Source organism: Homo sapiens, chromosome 9, assembly GCF_000001405.40.
Source record: "Homo sapiens chromosome 9, GRCh38.p14 Primary Assembly".
NCBI lineage: Eukaryota > Metazoa > Chordata > Mammalia > Primates > Hominidae > Homo > Homo sapiens.
In genome coordinates, this window is record NC_000009.12 from 40347394 (window position 1) to 40365729 (window position 18336).

The 18336-nt window shown below is 38.4% G+C and overlaps 1 long non-coding RNA gene and 1 pseudogene across 2 annotated transcripts in view; one reads left to right on the plus strand and one right to left on the minus strand.

The window, feature by feature from the left end:
• Positions 1 to 1105: 1105 nt before the first annotated feature.
• On the plus strand, positions 1106 to 6265 carry GXYLT1P3 (GXYLT1 pseudogene 3; annotated as a pseudogene). The gene is made up of 4 exons (NR_121572.1): positions 1106 to 2762; positions 4594 to 4696; positions 5201 to 5330; positions 5864 to 6265. The product of NR_121572.1 is annotated as a GXYLT1 pseudogene 3 (transcript).
• The window catches only part of LOC124902159 (uncharacterized), a 68637-nt gene continuing 51661 nt past the window's right edge, over positions 1361 to 18336 (minus strand). Inside the window, exons 2-3 of the long non-coding RNA XR_007061497.1 lie at positions 5262 to 5489; positions 1361 to 1445 (exon numbers count right to left, since the gene is read on the minus strand). This is a non-coding gene — a long non-coding RNA (uncharacterized LOC124902159). The remainder of the gene's footprint in view (positions 1446 to 5261; positions 5490 to 18336) is intronic.

Sequence of the window (18336 nt, forward strand, 5' to 3'; positions counted from 1 at the left end):
GTAAAAGTGTCATGCCAGTATGAATTATATTTATAATCCTTTCAAGAAGAAAGAACTTGCGGCGGGGCGCTGTGGCTCACGCCTGTAATCCCAGCACTTTGGGAGGCCGAGGCGGGCTGATCATGAGGTCAGGAATTCAAGACCAGTCTGGCCAAGATGGTGAAACTTCGTCTCTACTAAAAATACAAAAAAATTAGCTGGGCGTGGTGGCGGGCGCCTGTAATCCCAGCTACTCGGGAGGCTGAAGAAGAGAATTCCTTAAACCCGGGAGGCGGAGGTTGCAGTGAGCCAAGATTGTGCCACTGCACTCTAGCCTGGGCGACAGAGCAAGACTCCGTCTCAAACCAAAAAAAAAAAAAAAAAAAAAAGAAAAAGAAAAAGAAAAAAGAAAGAACTTCCTTAATGTTTTGAAGAGACTATTCTGTATCCATTTTATAATTTTGTGGCCACTGAAAAAGGTATATTAAATCACAGACACAGTGAATGTAGTAAGTGGTAGTTTAAAATGTTAAAATGTTAAATCACGCCTGTACTCCCAGCACTTTGGGAGGCTGAGCGGGGAGGATCGCCTGAGGTTGGCAGTTCAAGACCAGCCTGGCCAACATGGTGAAACCCCTTCTCTACTAAAAATACAAAAATTAGCCAGGTATGGTGGCACAAATCTGTAATCCCAGCTACTCGGGAGGCTGAGGCAGGAGAATGGCTTGAACCCTGGAGGGGGAGGTTGCAGTGAGCTGAGATCAAGCCACTGCACTCCAGCCTGGACAACACAGTGAAACTGTCTCAAAAATAAAATAAAGTGTTGAATTTTTACAAGTCGTTGTTCCTATTCTAATTTTTGAATGCAACCACAGCCTCTAACAAAACAGCCTCGTTACACTAATTCGCTGATAATGAATTCTTAAGTAAAAGGGGAATTCCATAGAAATATATATGGCTCTTTTATGTTTAAGAAAAGTAAGAGCCTGAAAAACAGATGTGTTCTGTAAAACTGAATTACTTTCTATCCAGTTCCACTGGTTCCACTGTTTTATATCTTTATATTAAAACATATATAAATGATTGATTGATGATTTTTTTTCTTTTAGACGCTGCTGCTGAATCCATGGAGAGAAAAAGGATAAATTTCCAGAACTATGGTCCCTGTGCTCCAGTTCGTCAGGCGGGCGCGGCGGAGACGGAGACCGAGGAACGCCGCTGGGGCCATGCGGCGCTACCGCGCGTGGTGGCTCTGTGTCTGGCCTGAGGCTTCTGCTCGCTCCTTTACGCCTTCAGCCAGCTCCCCGTGTCCCCGGAGGAAGGAGCGGGCCGTGGTGGCGGGAAGCCGCAGGCCGCAGTGGCTTCCTGGCTGGCGGGAGGCGGATGCGGTGCGGTGAGAGGCGCGAGCAGCGCTTGTCCCGCTGCTCATCCCCGCAGGTGGGACAGGTGTAGTCTGAAAATACAGCCTGTTGAGAAAATGTATCTAGGTGAAAGACTGGAAGAAACTATGACCATGTTGAAGTCAGCTATTATTTTCAGGATCAAACCTCTTCAATTCCAGATTTTTGCTGAAGATCAACTACATCATAGCTTTAAAGGAAGGCTTGACAGGGGTCATTTCTACAAATATTTAATTATACAATATACTCCATAACCTTTCCAAGTGAGAATGCAGCAGAGTGGAAAAACTCTTTAAACCATGTGGTTTGCAGAGATTGTCCTTGCCGTTATTCCTGAAAGAAGTTGACTCTCACACTGATAGCCTTTTTAAAAGACCAGCTGATAATATTTGGTCTTTACTAAAGAAATTTAATTCCACACAAATTCTGCAATGGCCCCAGAACACAAGGAATGTCAAATAGGATGGTATAGTCGCTTTGCTAGGCATCCATAGTGTGGAAAAGCTGGAGTAAACTCTGGAGTTATGTTGACAAACATGACTTGAATGAGAAGGAAGTATTTCAAGAATAATATGACAACTGTGTGACTACAATGAGGAGATATACTTATGACATGGCTTAAAATATACAAGTTAAACATTACATGGGCGATCAAGATCTGTTGGATATCCTGTTTTTTCATAATCCAGAAAGCCTTTTTGTCTTTCCGTGTCAATGGAAGTGTCGTCCAGATCACTGTCTATATGGAAGCAGTTGCCAAGAAGCAGAAGAAGGAATCTTTATTTTTCACGGGAACAGAGGTGTTTACCATGATGATAAGCAACCAGCATTTAGAGCTGTTTATGAAGCACTGAGAAATTGTTCTTTTAAGATGACAATGTTCATTCATTAATAAAACCTTTAGAATTGGAACTACAAAAAATAGTGCATACATACCGTGGAAAAATTTACTAAATATTTATCAAACAATTAGCAAAAACATAAGAGATCGCTATGTCAGATCACCAAAGGAAAGGTGATTCTTGTTGCCTGCTACATCAAATGGATGAAAAGAACAAAGCATTGGAGGATAAGTATGAAGGAACTGTCTTGGGTGAAGCATTAAGGCAGGAATTATTCATCTACAGAATTTTTTTTTTTCCTGAAGAGGTTAAATGAGCAGTATTTTCAGGTAATGAAGAATAAGTTAAAATCTTGGGCTTCAACAAAGAAAAATTTTTGGCCTCTGATGTTGTGTAATGTTACTTACTATCATTCCAGTATTGATGAAAATATTATTGAATGGTTTTAGCCTGCAAACTTCTGTTGACTCATACTCTCAAGAGTGGTGGGGCTGTGAAAATGAAGAAAATGTACCTCAAACACAGTGCAAACACTCAGATGGTGAGTAGAGCGATAATTTTATGTCAGCACTAACCTCACTTTAAATGTGTGAGAGAGAAGTTTGTCTACAGGAGTAGAAACAGTTCTGTTTCTAAAGAAATGTGATGTAACCAATGTAACCATGGATGATCTATATCTGCCTTTACACATTTCATCTCTGTTTTAAAATATTTTTATGATAATCATATTTAAAATTGTTTTTAGATTATAAGGAAGCTGCATGTTAAAAATTGAGCTGTATAAGAAAGAGGAAATATAGTGAAAACTTTGGGGTTTTAATCTGTGCATGTGAGAGAGAGTGAGAAATATAGTGTTTTCATTGTGTATGCATTAAACTGTCTTGCTAAAACTCAGATCTAAGATTGTTAAGTAGATATTTGGGGAACTTTTTTATCACTTTAAATGAAAAATTTCAGCCTTACTGGGCATTCTGGAAGCAAAATATGTTATGCTGATGATAAAGTGAGAACCTTAAGAATACACTCATTTGATGGCGGAAAATGTGATGGACCAAAATGCAGAAGCTATACACGTCCTGTGAGTAGTAATTTTAGTTACAATGCAGTAGGAAAATGTGGCGCATTTAAACATTTCTTCTACCTCATAATGGCTTTGCAAGATACTTGTAAAGAAGCAAATGTCTAGAGCCTTACTTTAAGAAAGTTAAACAACTTTGGTGAATGATTTGGATTAAGATTGTTACATCCAGCTATAGAAATGTGGTTTCAATAGGGTTGATGTGAGTGAGTACCTTCCTTTTTTGAATACCACTTAAAACAGTTAACTTTTTAAGTCTTGAAGATGAGAAAAATATTGCTTATCTAATATAACTATTTTAATAGTTATCTAATTTATAGTTATCTACTATAACTATACATTCTGAATACTTAGCATGTACTGTGCTGGGGCACATATCTTATTTTCCCAGCTGCTAAACGATTATCTTCCTTCTCTCCCTGGTATTTTAATGCCCAAGTAGAAAATGGAAAATCATGAAGGAAAAATATCACTTGTGAAAATCGTGGCAGTTAGCTTTATGAAGACACAGTGGCCTCTGTGGGGACATGGGATATGCAGAAAGAGATGGCTAGTACAGTTGTTCTGTCTTCTGCAGTTCAGTCAGGGACATATTGAGAGAGGAAAGTTTAAGCAGGTACATTAGAAATTGATAACCAGCCCAGCATTCTTAGAACAGATGGGTTTAGAGAACACGAGTTGTAGTTCCTTGGCAGAATGCCATGGTGGATATGAGAAACTGTGAACTGTGTTGAAATTGAGCTTGAGCAGAAAATGAGAATACTAAAAATTTGAAGTTCAGAGGGTATGCATTAGATTATTTCTAATGGTCCCCATATATGATCATTGCCTGCCTGACTATATAAGACTCCTGTTGGGAGCTTGAGAACAGATTGCTGAGCTTAGCCCTTTGGAGACTCTGGTATGCTGTGTCTGGGATGGAGTCTGCAAAAAAAAATTTAAAGAAGAGACTTAAAAATTATACAAAACTAGAATAGTGCTTTGGTACTATCAGATTACTTGGGGGCTATTCCCACTTCGATTCTTCATATAGAGGATGTGAACAGAGAAACATGCAGATAAATCAGTCAATGCCAACTGCTGGGGGAAACGTCCATAGTCTGCAGGTTCCCACAGAAAGGATAGCACTTCCGTCCTCTCCCATGAGGGAAAAACAAAGGAGAAAAGCTTTTGGCCTCTCACCATAAGCTCATTCAGTCCTCCCCTTGGGAAGAGAAATGACTTAACTGAGGAATGTGCTTGAAAGTAGCTGTACTGGTGAAACTCAGCCTCTGTGGGTTTCTCTCTCTTTCAGAGTCAGCTCTCTTCAGGATGCGCATTTATTTCTCCCTTTGGAGGAGGCCTCAGTCCAGCTCAGCCAAGGACTGAAAGGCACATCTGGCTAATTCAAGACTGAGGTATTGGGAGGTCCCCTTGGCCCCAGATCTATGATATGTTCTCGAGTCCTGAGACCTGCTGACTCTCGTATCTCTTTTCTCAGTTGGGTCATATCTTGGGGTTATTTGTGTTCCCAGCTCTAACAGGAAGGTTCCTAAGCACTCATTTCTTCTTAACCAATTTCTGAAGGTAAAATGTTGGTGAAGAGTGCTCTTTTCTTCCTGCTACCATTAATTGGTGTTTATTTTGTGTCAGGCACTGTTGAGTATTTTACATTTCTTATCCAGTTTGATCTTTACAGCAACTTTATATGACAGACATTGTTCCCCCATTTTTCAGGCTAGAAATCTGAGGCCCAGTGTCCCACAATGGCTGTGTGGTGACACTAGGCTTTGAGCACAGATGGTTGACTTCCAAAGCCTATGTTCCTAACCATTATGCCACTCTGTGTTGTGACAGCGCCAAACATACTTTCATTCATATATATCTTTTAACTGATCATGTTCTTGTGTGATTTCTTTCAGAAAGGCTTTTACATCAAATATTGATAATGATAATAATAATGAACACATGTTGAGCACTTACCATGTCTCAAGCACTGCTCTAGAGCTTCCCATGAAAGAACCCCTCTAATCTTCAGAACAACCCTGTGAGGTAGGTGCTGCTATTACTCTGTTTTCACAAGTAAAGAAACTAAGCACAGCAGATCCACAGTCATTCTGTAGGATGCTGTGTAGAATGGCTCCCGGGACACTGGGAAAGCTCTTCTGCACCTCAGTATCTTCTTTACTGGTTCATTAATGTCTGATATTCCTGCATGAGAAAGCACAACATAGACAGAAAGCTTAATATGTATATACACACACTGAGAGATAAGGCATTGACATAACATCTCATTATAGGTATTAGAAATGCAGTCTCAAGAGCAGGTTCTCGTGGGGTGACAGGCAGGGTATTCTAGGGGAAGGAATATCCCAAGAAAGGTGGCATTACAAAGGAAGAGGAGAAAGAAAGATGTAAATGAGGAGACACTGATTTTCTTCCATTGCAAAGTTTTCCAAGGCTGGCCCCTTTTCTATTACATTCTTACCCAGTAACTCATACTTTCCCTAGAGCTCTTGCAAGAAAGAACTATTGAGAAAGTAGCCCATCTGAAAGTACATTTCCTGCTGTTTATCTGCTTCCAGAACTGGCTGAAGTTTACTTTTTGGTTCTCCAGAGACCTAGCTTCTTCCAATGTGGTCTATTTAATCTCCTGTCATGTGGGAAATTATATTCAAAATCTCCATGATCCTCTGTCCATAGTAAGTTATGCATGTAGTGAGAAGTACATGCCACAAGGTCTTGAGATTATATCTGCAATGTGTTGCTGCTGGCTGTTGATCAAGATAGGCTGGGAGAAGATCATTTTCAGGTGTGAAAAACTGTCACCTTTATCAAATAATTCTTCTTGCATATTTCCCAAGACGTTGTAGCCTGTCTAAACTTGGGAGGTTAATTTTGTAGCATTCATTATGACCGAAAATGTAGTTCACACAATCATGATGCTCTCTTTATTAGGTGTTACTGTTAAACAATATTAAAATACACACAATGTGGCTGGTCTTTTGTAAGCTACATGGCATGTTTACTTCTTTGCCAGGTTTCTTAATTGCATCTCTTCATCTTTCCGAATACCAGTGTCACTGTCACCCACAATATTTGCTGTTTTGAGCACATGGTTTACCTTTTATTTTGCCCAATAATAGAATATGATGGGGACATCTTATCTGAGTGTTTCATAGTATGCTGTAGTTTGAATTCTTGGCTGTTGGTTTCCCAGAGTCCCAGCTCCTGCCACTGCATTCTGCCTTTGTAAATGGAGAATAATGGCTCTAAAAAAAATTCACCTAAGAATGTCATGATAGTGGAGAGGGAGGACCATGGAAATGCTAAAGCCACCCACTCGGCTTCTGTAAATCATGCAGAGGATCAGGAAAATGATTGAAAGTAACGTATCCCAAACAAAGCAGTCAGCTGTACAATTCAAGACCTGTGTCTGGCTGTAAAAAAAAAACAAAAAACAAACAAACAAAAAACACAAACAAACAAAAAAATGGAAAGAATAACCTTGCTACTCATCTTGTTCAAAAAACTGGAGCAGATTGAGTATCTAGACTCAGTTTCAGAAGAAATGTTAAATATTGACAGGGGCATATTCAAGATCTTTAGGATTTTTTGGGGGGAGGAGAGGGGAACATAAAAAAGCAATAATAAAGATAAATTTGAATGCAGGAAAAATACACATAATCCATGAATCTAACACCTGTTTTCGCATGTTTATCATCTTTGTCCCTATGTAGATCTATGTTTTCTTTCACAGTTGCAGTCATAGAATATATTCTATTCTCTAAGCTTTTATCCTTCAACATTATAGGAGAATGTTGTTCCATGTTACCACATAGCCAACTGTTTCAAAACTTGTCTAGTAAATTCTGTGCTGTTGTTTTCACAGGGAGAAACATGCACATGTATATTACTTTTTTTTTTCTGTTGAATCATACTCTTGGAATAAATTTTTTTCAGTGAGGTTTTTGGTTCCAAAAAGTATAAACATTTTGGTGATCTTTAGTAAGTTGTATTGCTTTCCAAAGAAGTGATAGGAATTATACTTGCCACCCCAACAGTGAAAGAATTGCAATTTAATTTCAATGTAAAAGAGGATGCTACTGTTGCTATTATATTTTCTATTATAATGAAAACCGTTAAAGATTTAAATCAAGCTGGATTGTCTTTCAGGAGCTGCTGTTAAATGAACACCTTGATACTTTCGTTCTTGGAGAGAAATGAGCCAAGGAGGAAGACCATCTAAAAAAAACCACTAGACAATTTGTGCTCACTGGAGTGGTCTCTGCTGGGCAAAAGGTCTTTAGAATGACTCGTGGATTTTCTGGCAAGTGGCAAACCATACAAGTGCTATGTCAGGCCAGGGAGACAGGTGCAGCCCTGTCAGTGTCAAAGAAGAACACTGGTAGCAGAAGAGCTAAGAGTGAATGAAAATTGAATTATCTTTATTTCTAGGACTTGTCTATTGAGAAACAACAGTGCTGGCAACCATTTACTACCAACAAGAGGCAGTTCCAAGAGAAGAATATAAAATATGCTCTGCTCAATCCCACGAAACTCAGAGTGTCTCACAATGGCCAATTTCTTATTTTTATCCTGTCCAGAGACAAGGAAGGATGCATCAGGGAGCTGCTAGCCTCTGCGATGAATAACTTGAGTCAGGCTGCAACATGTGAAAGAATTCAGCTGGTCAGGATTTATAACACTAGCTGGATTTTTTGCTTTCTTTGGGGTTCATGAAGCATGGTGTTGTGAGATACCACAGGAGTCCCAGAGTAAAGTTACATACCTATTTCTCTTCCTTATTTTTATTTTTTTGGCATGTTCATACTATTTTATTACCAACATCGTTGGCATCCCTGAGTATGAGAGTTCAGAAGAAACTTAGAGGCTATTGTCTGATTCAATCCTTGCAGCTTACAAAAAGAAATGTGGGGAGCAGTCACTGTGTGACTAGCCTGAGGTCACTCAGGAAGTTAGAGGCAGAACTGCAGCCAGGGTCACCTCTCTTTACTGCTACTAGTGTGCTCCTTCTACTGCACCCTGATCATAAAACATCTCCCAACCCAGGAACAAGGTCTACCGCATAGGTGGGCACAGCAGCGTGATCACTCTCTCAGTCGTCTGTACTCCTCCTTTGCTTTGACCAAAGACACAGGAAGGGACCTTTTGCCCCACATAAAACACCTCTCAGAGGCTTGGCAACAACAACAGATAATAGAGAGCATTGACCTAAGACCAACATTTCAACCATGGTGTCAAAACAATATTTTATTTCAGCAAAGAAAAACTATGTCACAAGTGGATTATTATTACTAATAATCAGACTAGTGGTACTTGCGAATGACTTGGTTTCATACTCACACTTGGACAACTATGCACACTGAGTATAACTGACCTTATGAGAACATCATTCTCACTAAGATTATGATGTGCTTTCTCACGTGGGAACTGTACATAATATTGCGTGTACACTTGGGAGGATGTCCTGCCTGTGATGTTGTCTTTCAGGGGAAGAAGAATGGTTGAGAACTGAGGGTATATTAAACATTTACTCCTCCAGATTTTTCAAGATTTCTGTTAAGCCAGATCAGAAGAAAGCCATCTATTTGGATTGCATCACTCTAACCTGGTAAGTCGAATTGTCTACACAGAATTATAATTTCACGATATGTCCAGATTACTTACCAAGAGCCAATTTGAGACACCAACAGGACTAGTAAAACATCTTTGCACTGTGGGTAGCGTTGCTATCAAAGACCTTATACATTATGCCATTCAAGAACCTTTATATTAAGATCCTTATGGAAAATCCTTCCCAAAGTTTAACCCTATGATAAAGGGTTTTTTTCTCCTGGTAACATAGTGGGCAATTGGGAACTGTTTAACCCAATGCATTGATTTCATTGATTGTTTTGGTTGCCGAGAAGTATGGATGCTCAGAATAGGTTTTCTTGTTTTCAACTGCTAATTCCTTTATTTAAATTGTAATAAATGTTTCCCTTTACTTCTTTCCTTTTTCTTTTTAAGAAATTTAATGTATTTCATAATAAATTATAAATTATCAATAGATCAATTAGCATAGAATAGTTTGGAATAATGCTTAGAGATCTCCCATTGAAAAAGACCCCAGTACCATAGGGTTCACAGCTGAGTGTTAACTGAACTTGAACAAATTCTGATTTTATTTAAAATGTTCAAAGCCTAGAAAAAAAACTCCTGCAGATCACATGGGGCACATAATAACTAAAAAAGAAAGAAACAAAGAGGGGTGGCTTTCTTCAATTAATTTTATAGTGTAATATCAAAGCTTAATAGTTAATATATTTCATCTAATGTAGAATGTCAATGTTTAGAAATCAGACATTATTTCATGTACCATTAGAGATATACTGCCAATTAAACTGTGACTTCCTTAGCAAAAGCAAAACAAGGAATTTTAAAGATATTAAAACATGTAAAGAAGAATATAAGCACTATACTCCCAACCCCTTCAAGTAACATGTTAATATTTTATTGCATTGGTTTTCAGTAATTACTTTTAATAAAATAAATCATTATTAGCTAATGTTCCACCCCTACCACTCCAATCTCATTCTCCTTCTAGGTCCCCCAGGCCCAATTGCTAAAATAAATTTGTTGTACACTTTAAAGTCAATTTTCTATACGTTTGCACATAAATATGTGCATTCATAGAAAGTATTTTTGTGCCGAGAAGGTAGAATAAGCCCTTCAAAGTTGTTGATGTTCAGATTCCAGTTGGCAAAAGTCTTACACATGTGGCATTAAATATTTTCAGTATTAAACATGCACATTCCACAAGTTCAGCAGTTCTGTAATATACATCCAGAGTCTGCCCTGAGGGATGCTTACAACCTTAGTATAAACTCTCACTCACCCCTTTTAGAGAATAAAACTTACACCTATGTAATGACCAGTCCAGGTACAAGGGTGTCCTCTGAGAACATTCAGGAGAAAGAGTGGTGGCATCGGCAGGAAAGTGCAGTGGAAAGGAGGAGCTGACTTTGGCAGGAAAAAGAACGATATTACTTTGAATTTATCAACTCTGACGTAACATCCTGATAAAAAGTGCCATATCCAAATCACGTTGAAGATTCTCAAAGGACAGTACCAAAGTTGAATAAAAACACAGTGCCTCAAATGGGAAGTGGTATAGAAAGGCCTGAGGCTGGGGTATGGAGGCACACGGTGTGCCGAGAACGAGGGAAGAGAAGAGTGAACAACTGCTCGGGGTCGGGTTGCATTGATGGCGAGAGATGGGTGTAACATGCATTTATGAGGACAGACATGATCAGGTTTAAAGAAAAAGAATTTTTTCTTTTTCCAGCAGTCCCACTATGGGGCATTTATCTACAGGAAAGGAAATCAGCATATTTAGGAGATACCTGCACCCTCATGTTTATAGCAGCCACTATTCACAGTAGCCAAGATTAGAATCAACCTAAATGTCCAAAAACATAATAGATTAAAAATGTAGTATCTATTCACAGTGGAGTACTATTTAGCCGTAAAAATAATGAAATCCTGTCCTTGGCTGCAACATGGATCAGCCTGGAACACTACATTAAGTGAAATAACCTAGGCACAGAATTATAAATCTTGCATGTTCTCACTCATATGTGGGAGCTAAAAAAAAACGAACTGAGCTCATGGAAGTGGAGAGTAGAATTCTGGTTATTACAGGCTGGGGAGAGCAACAGGGAGAAGAGGACAGGGAGAGGTTGGTTAACAAATACAAACTTACAGCTAGATAGGAGTAATGAGCACACCTATGACACCAAGCTGGGAATCGACAAGTGTGACAACTCCTCCACGTCCCTGAAGATGGGATACACGCAGGGCGCTCATCAGAGCGGCCAGGCCTTCGGCATGGGCCTACAGATATACGACCCCAGGTACTACTGGGGAGGCCCAGTGGCCCACGGCGCTCCCTCGGGCTCCGGCCCCTGAATATCTCCCTTACTACCAGGAGGAGACCGGCTACTGAGGCTCCCAGCACGCTCTCTCCACACATGATCTCCCCTCTGGGTGTTTGGGTTTTTCTGTGTTTTCATCTTTTTTTTTTTAAACCTGTTCAGTGCTGCCAGTCAACCGAGGGTCTGTGAGTGGCAGCGTGGGATCAGGCAGCAGGGATTTTTCCCCCACCTCCCCCTGCTTTGGTTCCTTCTCAGGACTGAGCCACCGGGCTGTGGGGGAAGGGATCAAGGCCATATCCTGATGCGTGTAGGGTGAAGGTGCCCGCTGGCACTTCCAGGCTGTAGGCTGAGCTGTGCTGGAGAGAAGAGACCTGGACATGGAGGGAACCGGTCCCTGAAGGTTTCTGGTTGCCTCTCCTCTTCCCCTTTTCTCAGCCTATCAGTAAGTGGTTTCTGTACCCGCAAAAGTTTCAGGAAGTATTAACAAAATAAAAAAAATTTTTTTTCCCCGAGGAATGGGGCGGGGACAGTGGAGAGGGTGCTAGGAAGTGTGTCCCCTGGGAGAGGGGGCTCAGCCACGATGCTAAAATATCTCAGGCTCCTGAGCAGCTGGATTTCCCTAGGACCCTCAGACCAACAGACCTCAGACCTACGCTGGGGCTCCTTGAGGAAACTGAGGCCCGTACAAGGTAGTGGAATTTTGAGTTGTCAGGGTTAAGCCTGACCCATCTCCATCCTGCTCCCCCACCTCCGTGGCCCTCAGTAGGGCTTTTTGTTTGTTTTTGTTTTTTTGAGATGTAGTCTCACTCTGTCGCCCAGGCTGAAGCGCACTGGAGTAATCTCGCCTCACTGCACCTCGGCCTACCGGGCTCAAGCGATTCTCCTGCCTCAGCCTCCAGAGTAGCTGGGACTACAGGCGCCCACCACCACGCCTGCCTAAATTTTTTGTATTTTTAGTAGAGACGGGATTTCACCATGTTGGCCAGGCTGGTTTGGAACTCTTTCCCTCATGTGATCCGCCTGTTTCGTCCTCCCAAAGTGTTGGGATGACAGGCGAGAGCCACCGCGCCCAGGCCCTCAGTAGGTCTTAAGGAGCCCCGGCCCTCCTTCTCCCCTTCCGGGCCTGACCAGGTCTACTGCTCTATCTCTCCCGGCCCCAGGCCACGCCAAGTACTGCACAGAGCCCTCCACCCAGGGGCCCTGCGCTATGAGATAATGTGAAATACCGACTGTGGACCAAACGCAATAAAACCTCTGTTTTTAAGAAGAAAATGAAAAGACTTAAAATTGGCATTTTAAGACTTTACTATATATTATTAAATATATATTAAATATAAATGTTATACAATTTAGCGCCTCTATCTCCCAGTCTCTGGTTAGGAACTTAACTTTCCTAAGCCTCAATTAGTAAACACTTATGGCCTAGCCACGTTGACCCGCCTCTCTCCTAACATCATCCAGTACATTTCGGAAGCGCATGCAAAACTCTCCCACCTTCTGTTTCAACAGATATGTCAACTGATACAATTATACAATAATTGCATAATATCAGATTTAATCTCACAATCACACTCAGCTTGATTACTAACCCTTCTCCTACACCTTGCTCACCTAAATTTATCTACATTTTCTATGAATTGAAATAGCTTAGAAATGTATGTTGTCTGTGTATTATAGTGTAAGTTATTGTAATATAGAAATATGGACTTTCTTTAACTCCCATTTGCTGCCTAGGAAATACCAATATTTTCTAAGCATGGCAAGTGTTTCCAAGCATTCAGAAGTGGAGAGTGTAGGAAATCCACTGCAGAATGAGGTCTGCTCGTCATCCTCTCAGTCTCAACTGCTCTCCCTCCTTCATCTCTCTCTGTTTCATTGGTGAGTATAGAAGATCAGGCATTTTTATATGAAATGAAAATTGATGGAACTAAGGTGTTGATTTGAATATCCAACCGACCTTTTATTGAGTGTCTATTACAAGTTAAATTGTGTTGTAGAGAACAGCTCAGGAAACGAATGCTTGACATTGATGTACATAACAGAAATACAAACATGCCATTAAAAAATCAGACCTCTTATGAGCATCCAGATTCTCACGTAAGTTTTGTGAAGCTCTTTCAAAATGAGAATGTAAAATTTCAAAAAAAACATCATTTTCACAAGTCATTCTTGAGACAGAAAAGTGGAAATAGAAGTTCATATATGGTTGTTTCACTATCTCTAATCTTATGTACAGTTTTTAGTCAGTTGACAGCCATATAATTCTTAGTTTTATATACTGATAGTCATTAGAAATTACAAATTTTAAAAAATATTCATGTCTCATTCTACGAATCAATGTAAAAATTTCATTCACTTGGTTATATTTCTTCATTTTACCTGGCCTTGACTACTTCTTTCCTGCCCAGCATTAAATTTAATTAATGTCTAATTTGTTTACTTGGTTTAGTTATTTTGGCCATGTTCAGTACACTTGTTATGAAGCAGGCATGTAGGAATGTTGACAAGTTTATGGTCCTCACTCTTCCAAATCCCTAATGGCGGCACCCCAACAGACACATACCACAATGTAAACACATACACACACACACAATCCGTGCCCACCCATACTCACCCACGTACACACAGACACACACACACACTCCAGTGGATCAACACATAAAACACTCCACAGGCAGGCATCGTACAGCAGGGATCTCTTAGTGCACTACACACTTCTGTAAATTATCAGGACTCTTCAATTGAGGTGAGTCTACAGAGATTTCAAAAGCTATTTGAGTGTTAAGCTATCTAACTAGTGGTTGGACACTATTTAAATAATGCATTAAACACAACTCTTGAGGCTCTGAAGAATTTCTGTGCTTTCCAATTCACCAGGAGTTACAAGGTCCTGAAAACCACAACTGTGTTACATCCTTTAATAGATAAAGCAAAGCTGATTTTAATGTGAATATACTTTATAGTTATTTCTATTCCTGTTAATTTTTGTTTGCTTGTAATACACATTTTTATGTAACTGGGAGTAAGGAACATCTTAGGAAAAAGAAAACAAAAAATAAAATTTCGCTGTTTACACTGTGCCTTGGTCCAGTAACCCTGCACTGCACATATACACTTTAAATTGGTGCCTTGGGGAACCACTTCGGTATTTCTTTTTTTTTTCTTTTATGTTGTAAACCTTTCTTGTAAAAATAAACAAAAAACAAAAAAAAGACAAACAAACACATTAGACTATGTCAACATGAGGTCAGGATAATCAATATTACTGTCTGAACCTCCACATCTTGTCCCACTGAAAAGGCTTCAGAGATAATTACACTCATGGAGTTGTTATTTCCTATGGTAATGATGCTTCTTTCTGTAATACTTCCTGAAAGATTTGCTTGAGGCTATTGTACAGATTTAACTGTTTTTCCATAAGTAGAAGGGGTAATTCTAATGATAAAAATTGTAGTATATAAAACAAATAAACCAGTAACAGAGTTTATCATTATCTAATACTATGTACTGCACACAATTGTATGTGTACTTTAGTATCACTGAAAGAAGAGCAAATTTGTTTACACCATCATCACCACAAACAGTAGCAATACATTTTGCTACAATGTTAGGTGGCTTACAATATCACTGGATGATAGAAATTTTTCAGGGCCATTAGACTCTTATGAGGTCAACATCATACATATATGGTCTGTCATTGACCAAAACATAATTATGTGGCACATGAGTGTATATATCAGATACATCAATCAATATATTCAACATTTCTCCCCTGCTTATCCTAATGATAAAGATGATATAAAATGTAATTTAAAAATATAAGAAGAAATGGTGTAATGGTCTCTATATTAAAAACTAGAGTTAAATTGTTTAAAAAATTATAAGTAGATGCTAAATACACAGATTGAAATACATTAAATACATTAAGAATGTTTGTTCTGTTTCTTATATATTGCTGGTTTTCTGTCATTGAAAGTTTAATTTAGACCTCCTTATTTCATGTAATCACCCCAATAATTTGTCTTACAAACAATTAACAGAAGTTAACACTATATAACATAGTTGTATATTGTCTTACTCTTACAATGGGATACTTTACTTTTCATGAGGGAAACAGTAAGCTATAAAGTTTACACAATCTGAGATGTAGATAAAGATTGATGTGCAAGATTGCTTCTAGATATATCACTTTATAATGGTAACATAAAAAAAGGAAAGTAATGTGTAAAATATCTTCTAATGCAACCCTTTCCACTCTTCCTGACTCATTGGCCTTTTTTTTTTTTTTGACTTCTCAGGAATACATTAGGAGGCTCCCTCATCCTCTGGCTTCAGGTTAGGTTCAGCCTGTGGAGAACCCTGTAAGAAGGCAGAAAGGAAGAGGAGAAAAGGGTCATGGTGTTTATTCTGTTGGTCTCTTCCCCATGAGGCTGTCTTCCCTACATGTGTCTCTTTACAGAAGGTCACTTTTGTTCTCCAGGTGGTCTGATCTTCTACTCCTTCTTTTTCCATGTTTTGTTTTTATCCTCACTGAGCGCCAGTTCCAGATTTATTGCTTACAATTCTTTCATGCTCCTTCCTTTGTATGGAAGCATTCCTCAAATTATTCTTAGTTGTATTTACCAACTGTTTTCTGTTGAAATTCTGACTAATCCAGAATATAAAACTTTTTAGAGTCCAGTCATTCTTTGCCATGTTCTGTTTCCCCCCATCTCTGTGGCTATGAAAACATGTATCAAATATTTTACCTGACTCGCAGGAAGGGGAAGTCCCACTGCTTTGCCTGTTTTGGATAGGTAGCATCAGTTAAACTAAACCTTTCATAAACTACTGATACATCAGTGGTTTCTTGTTACATAGAATGAACAGTATTCACCAGAATAACATCCTGACTAGCAAACACATCAATTGCCACTCGATGTTCTAAGTGTTATGAGTAAAATAAAAACTGAATAAAGATTTTGCCCTCAGGATGTTTATGTTCTCCTACGTGAGAAAGATAATTAAAAATACAAAATATAATATCAATTTTTGAATCATAAGTGTTACGCAGAAAGTGAATTAGGGTAAATTTCCATGCTTGTAGTTTTGCTTATGGTTTACTATTTGTATTCATTTTTTAGGACTGTCATACAAAATACCACAAACTGGGTAGCTTAAAACATCAAAAGCTTATTCTCTCAGTTTTGGAGGTCAGAAATTCAAAATCAAGATGTTAGCAATACCATGCTCCCTCTGAAACCTGAAGGAGAGAATCCTTCTTTACCTCTTGTCTTCAGGTGCCAGTTATCAATTCTTGGCACATTTTTTGGCAGGCAACTGCATCAGTTTGTGACTCTGTCATCACAGGACATTCTCCCTATATGTATGTATCTCTGTGCCCAATTCTTATAAGGACAGCACTCACCTGACCTCATCTTAACTAGTGACATCTGCAATAGCTCTATTATCAAATAAGTTCACATTTTAAGGTACTGGAGTTTAGCACTTCATTGTATCTTTTGAACAGACACAATTAAGCTCATATGTAATAAATATTAGTATTCAAATTAAGTATATCCTACACTTAAAATATACTGATAAAATAATTTGTAATTTCTAAAGACCTCATAATCATACAATCAATATTTATAACAGATTTCTCTTCATTTTGTTATCTATAAATCTGTATTTTTGTTTTTAGTTACAACCATGACATCCCCAGAAAGCTTTTCTATACAGAGAAGTGGCTCTGAAACTGTTATCAACATCTAAACTTTTGTAAAAATTGAAACTATTGTAATTTCAATTTACCTGAAGAATGTTTTCTTTTGATGTATTTGAACTGAGTATCCCTGTGATTGACAGGATGAAATGTTTATGAAATAGATCAATATTGCTCATTGTGATATTCATCATTGAATAATTATATTTTTATTTTGTCAATTCTGAGTTATTTGGAAACAAAAATCCACAGAATGTTACCTTATATAAATATGTTAATACATTCTTGATTATTAATAAATCTGTTACTACAATGTCATATCCTCTCAGTAATAAAAGCATATTTAATTTATGCTTTTATCCATTAGAAAACAGTGAAGCTAGAAATTATTTAAAATTTTCCCCTAAGAAATATGTGGAAAAAATAAGAAAATTTATATTTTAAAATGAAATTGCATTAAGAAGCCAACATTGATGCATTTATTGACTAAAGACCAGAGTTTACATTAGGGTTCACTCTTTGTATTATACAGTTCCATGGGTTTTGCTAAATGCATGATGTCATGTATCCACCATTACAGAATCATAGATAATAATTTCACTGCCCTAAAAATTCCCTGTGCTCCACCTACTTATCCCCCACATGCCCAACTCCTGGTAATGACTAAACTTTGCACTAGCTCTATAGTTTCGCCTTTTCTAGAAGATTATATACTTGGACTCATACAATATGTAGACTTTTCAGACTGGCTTCTTTCACATAGAAATATGCATTCAAATTTCCTCCATGTCTAATCATGACTGGATGGCTTATTTTTTTACCCCTGATAATTATGTCATTGTATGGATATAGCAGAGTTTGTTTATCTAATTAAGGAATGATTACCTATTAAAGGATAAGCTGGGTGCTTCTAAGTTTTAGTAAGTAAGAATATAGCTGCACATGCAATAAACATTTGCATGCAAGTTTCTGTGTGGTACAGTATACCATTTCTTTGTTCTTAAATACTTTTCACTGGTGTGAACCAATGAGATGCTAACATTGCATTGCTCGTACTTGGTTGGTTTCTAAACTTTACTTACTTTTACAATTTTTAAAGAGAAGTTTCTATTGCCAGTTTTTTAAAGTGATATGCTCTGCTGGCCTTGACATAACAATACACCATCATTAGCTTTTAAGTCCTTAATATGCTCAAAAAATTAGAGAGCAACTATATCCATGAACCACCATCTAGATTGCAGGAATTAAAGGGAGAACAAATGTTCATTGAATAGATGCAATTTACCAGGACTTATGCTAAGCATTACAGATCTATAATCTCTTTTTATATATATATATATATATATATATATATATATATACACACACACACACACACACACACACACACACACACACATATATATAAGAAAAT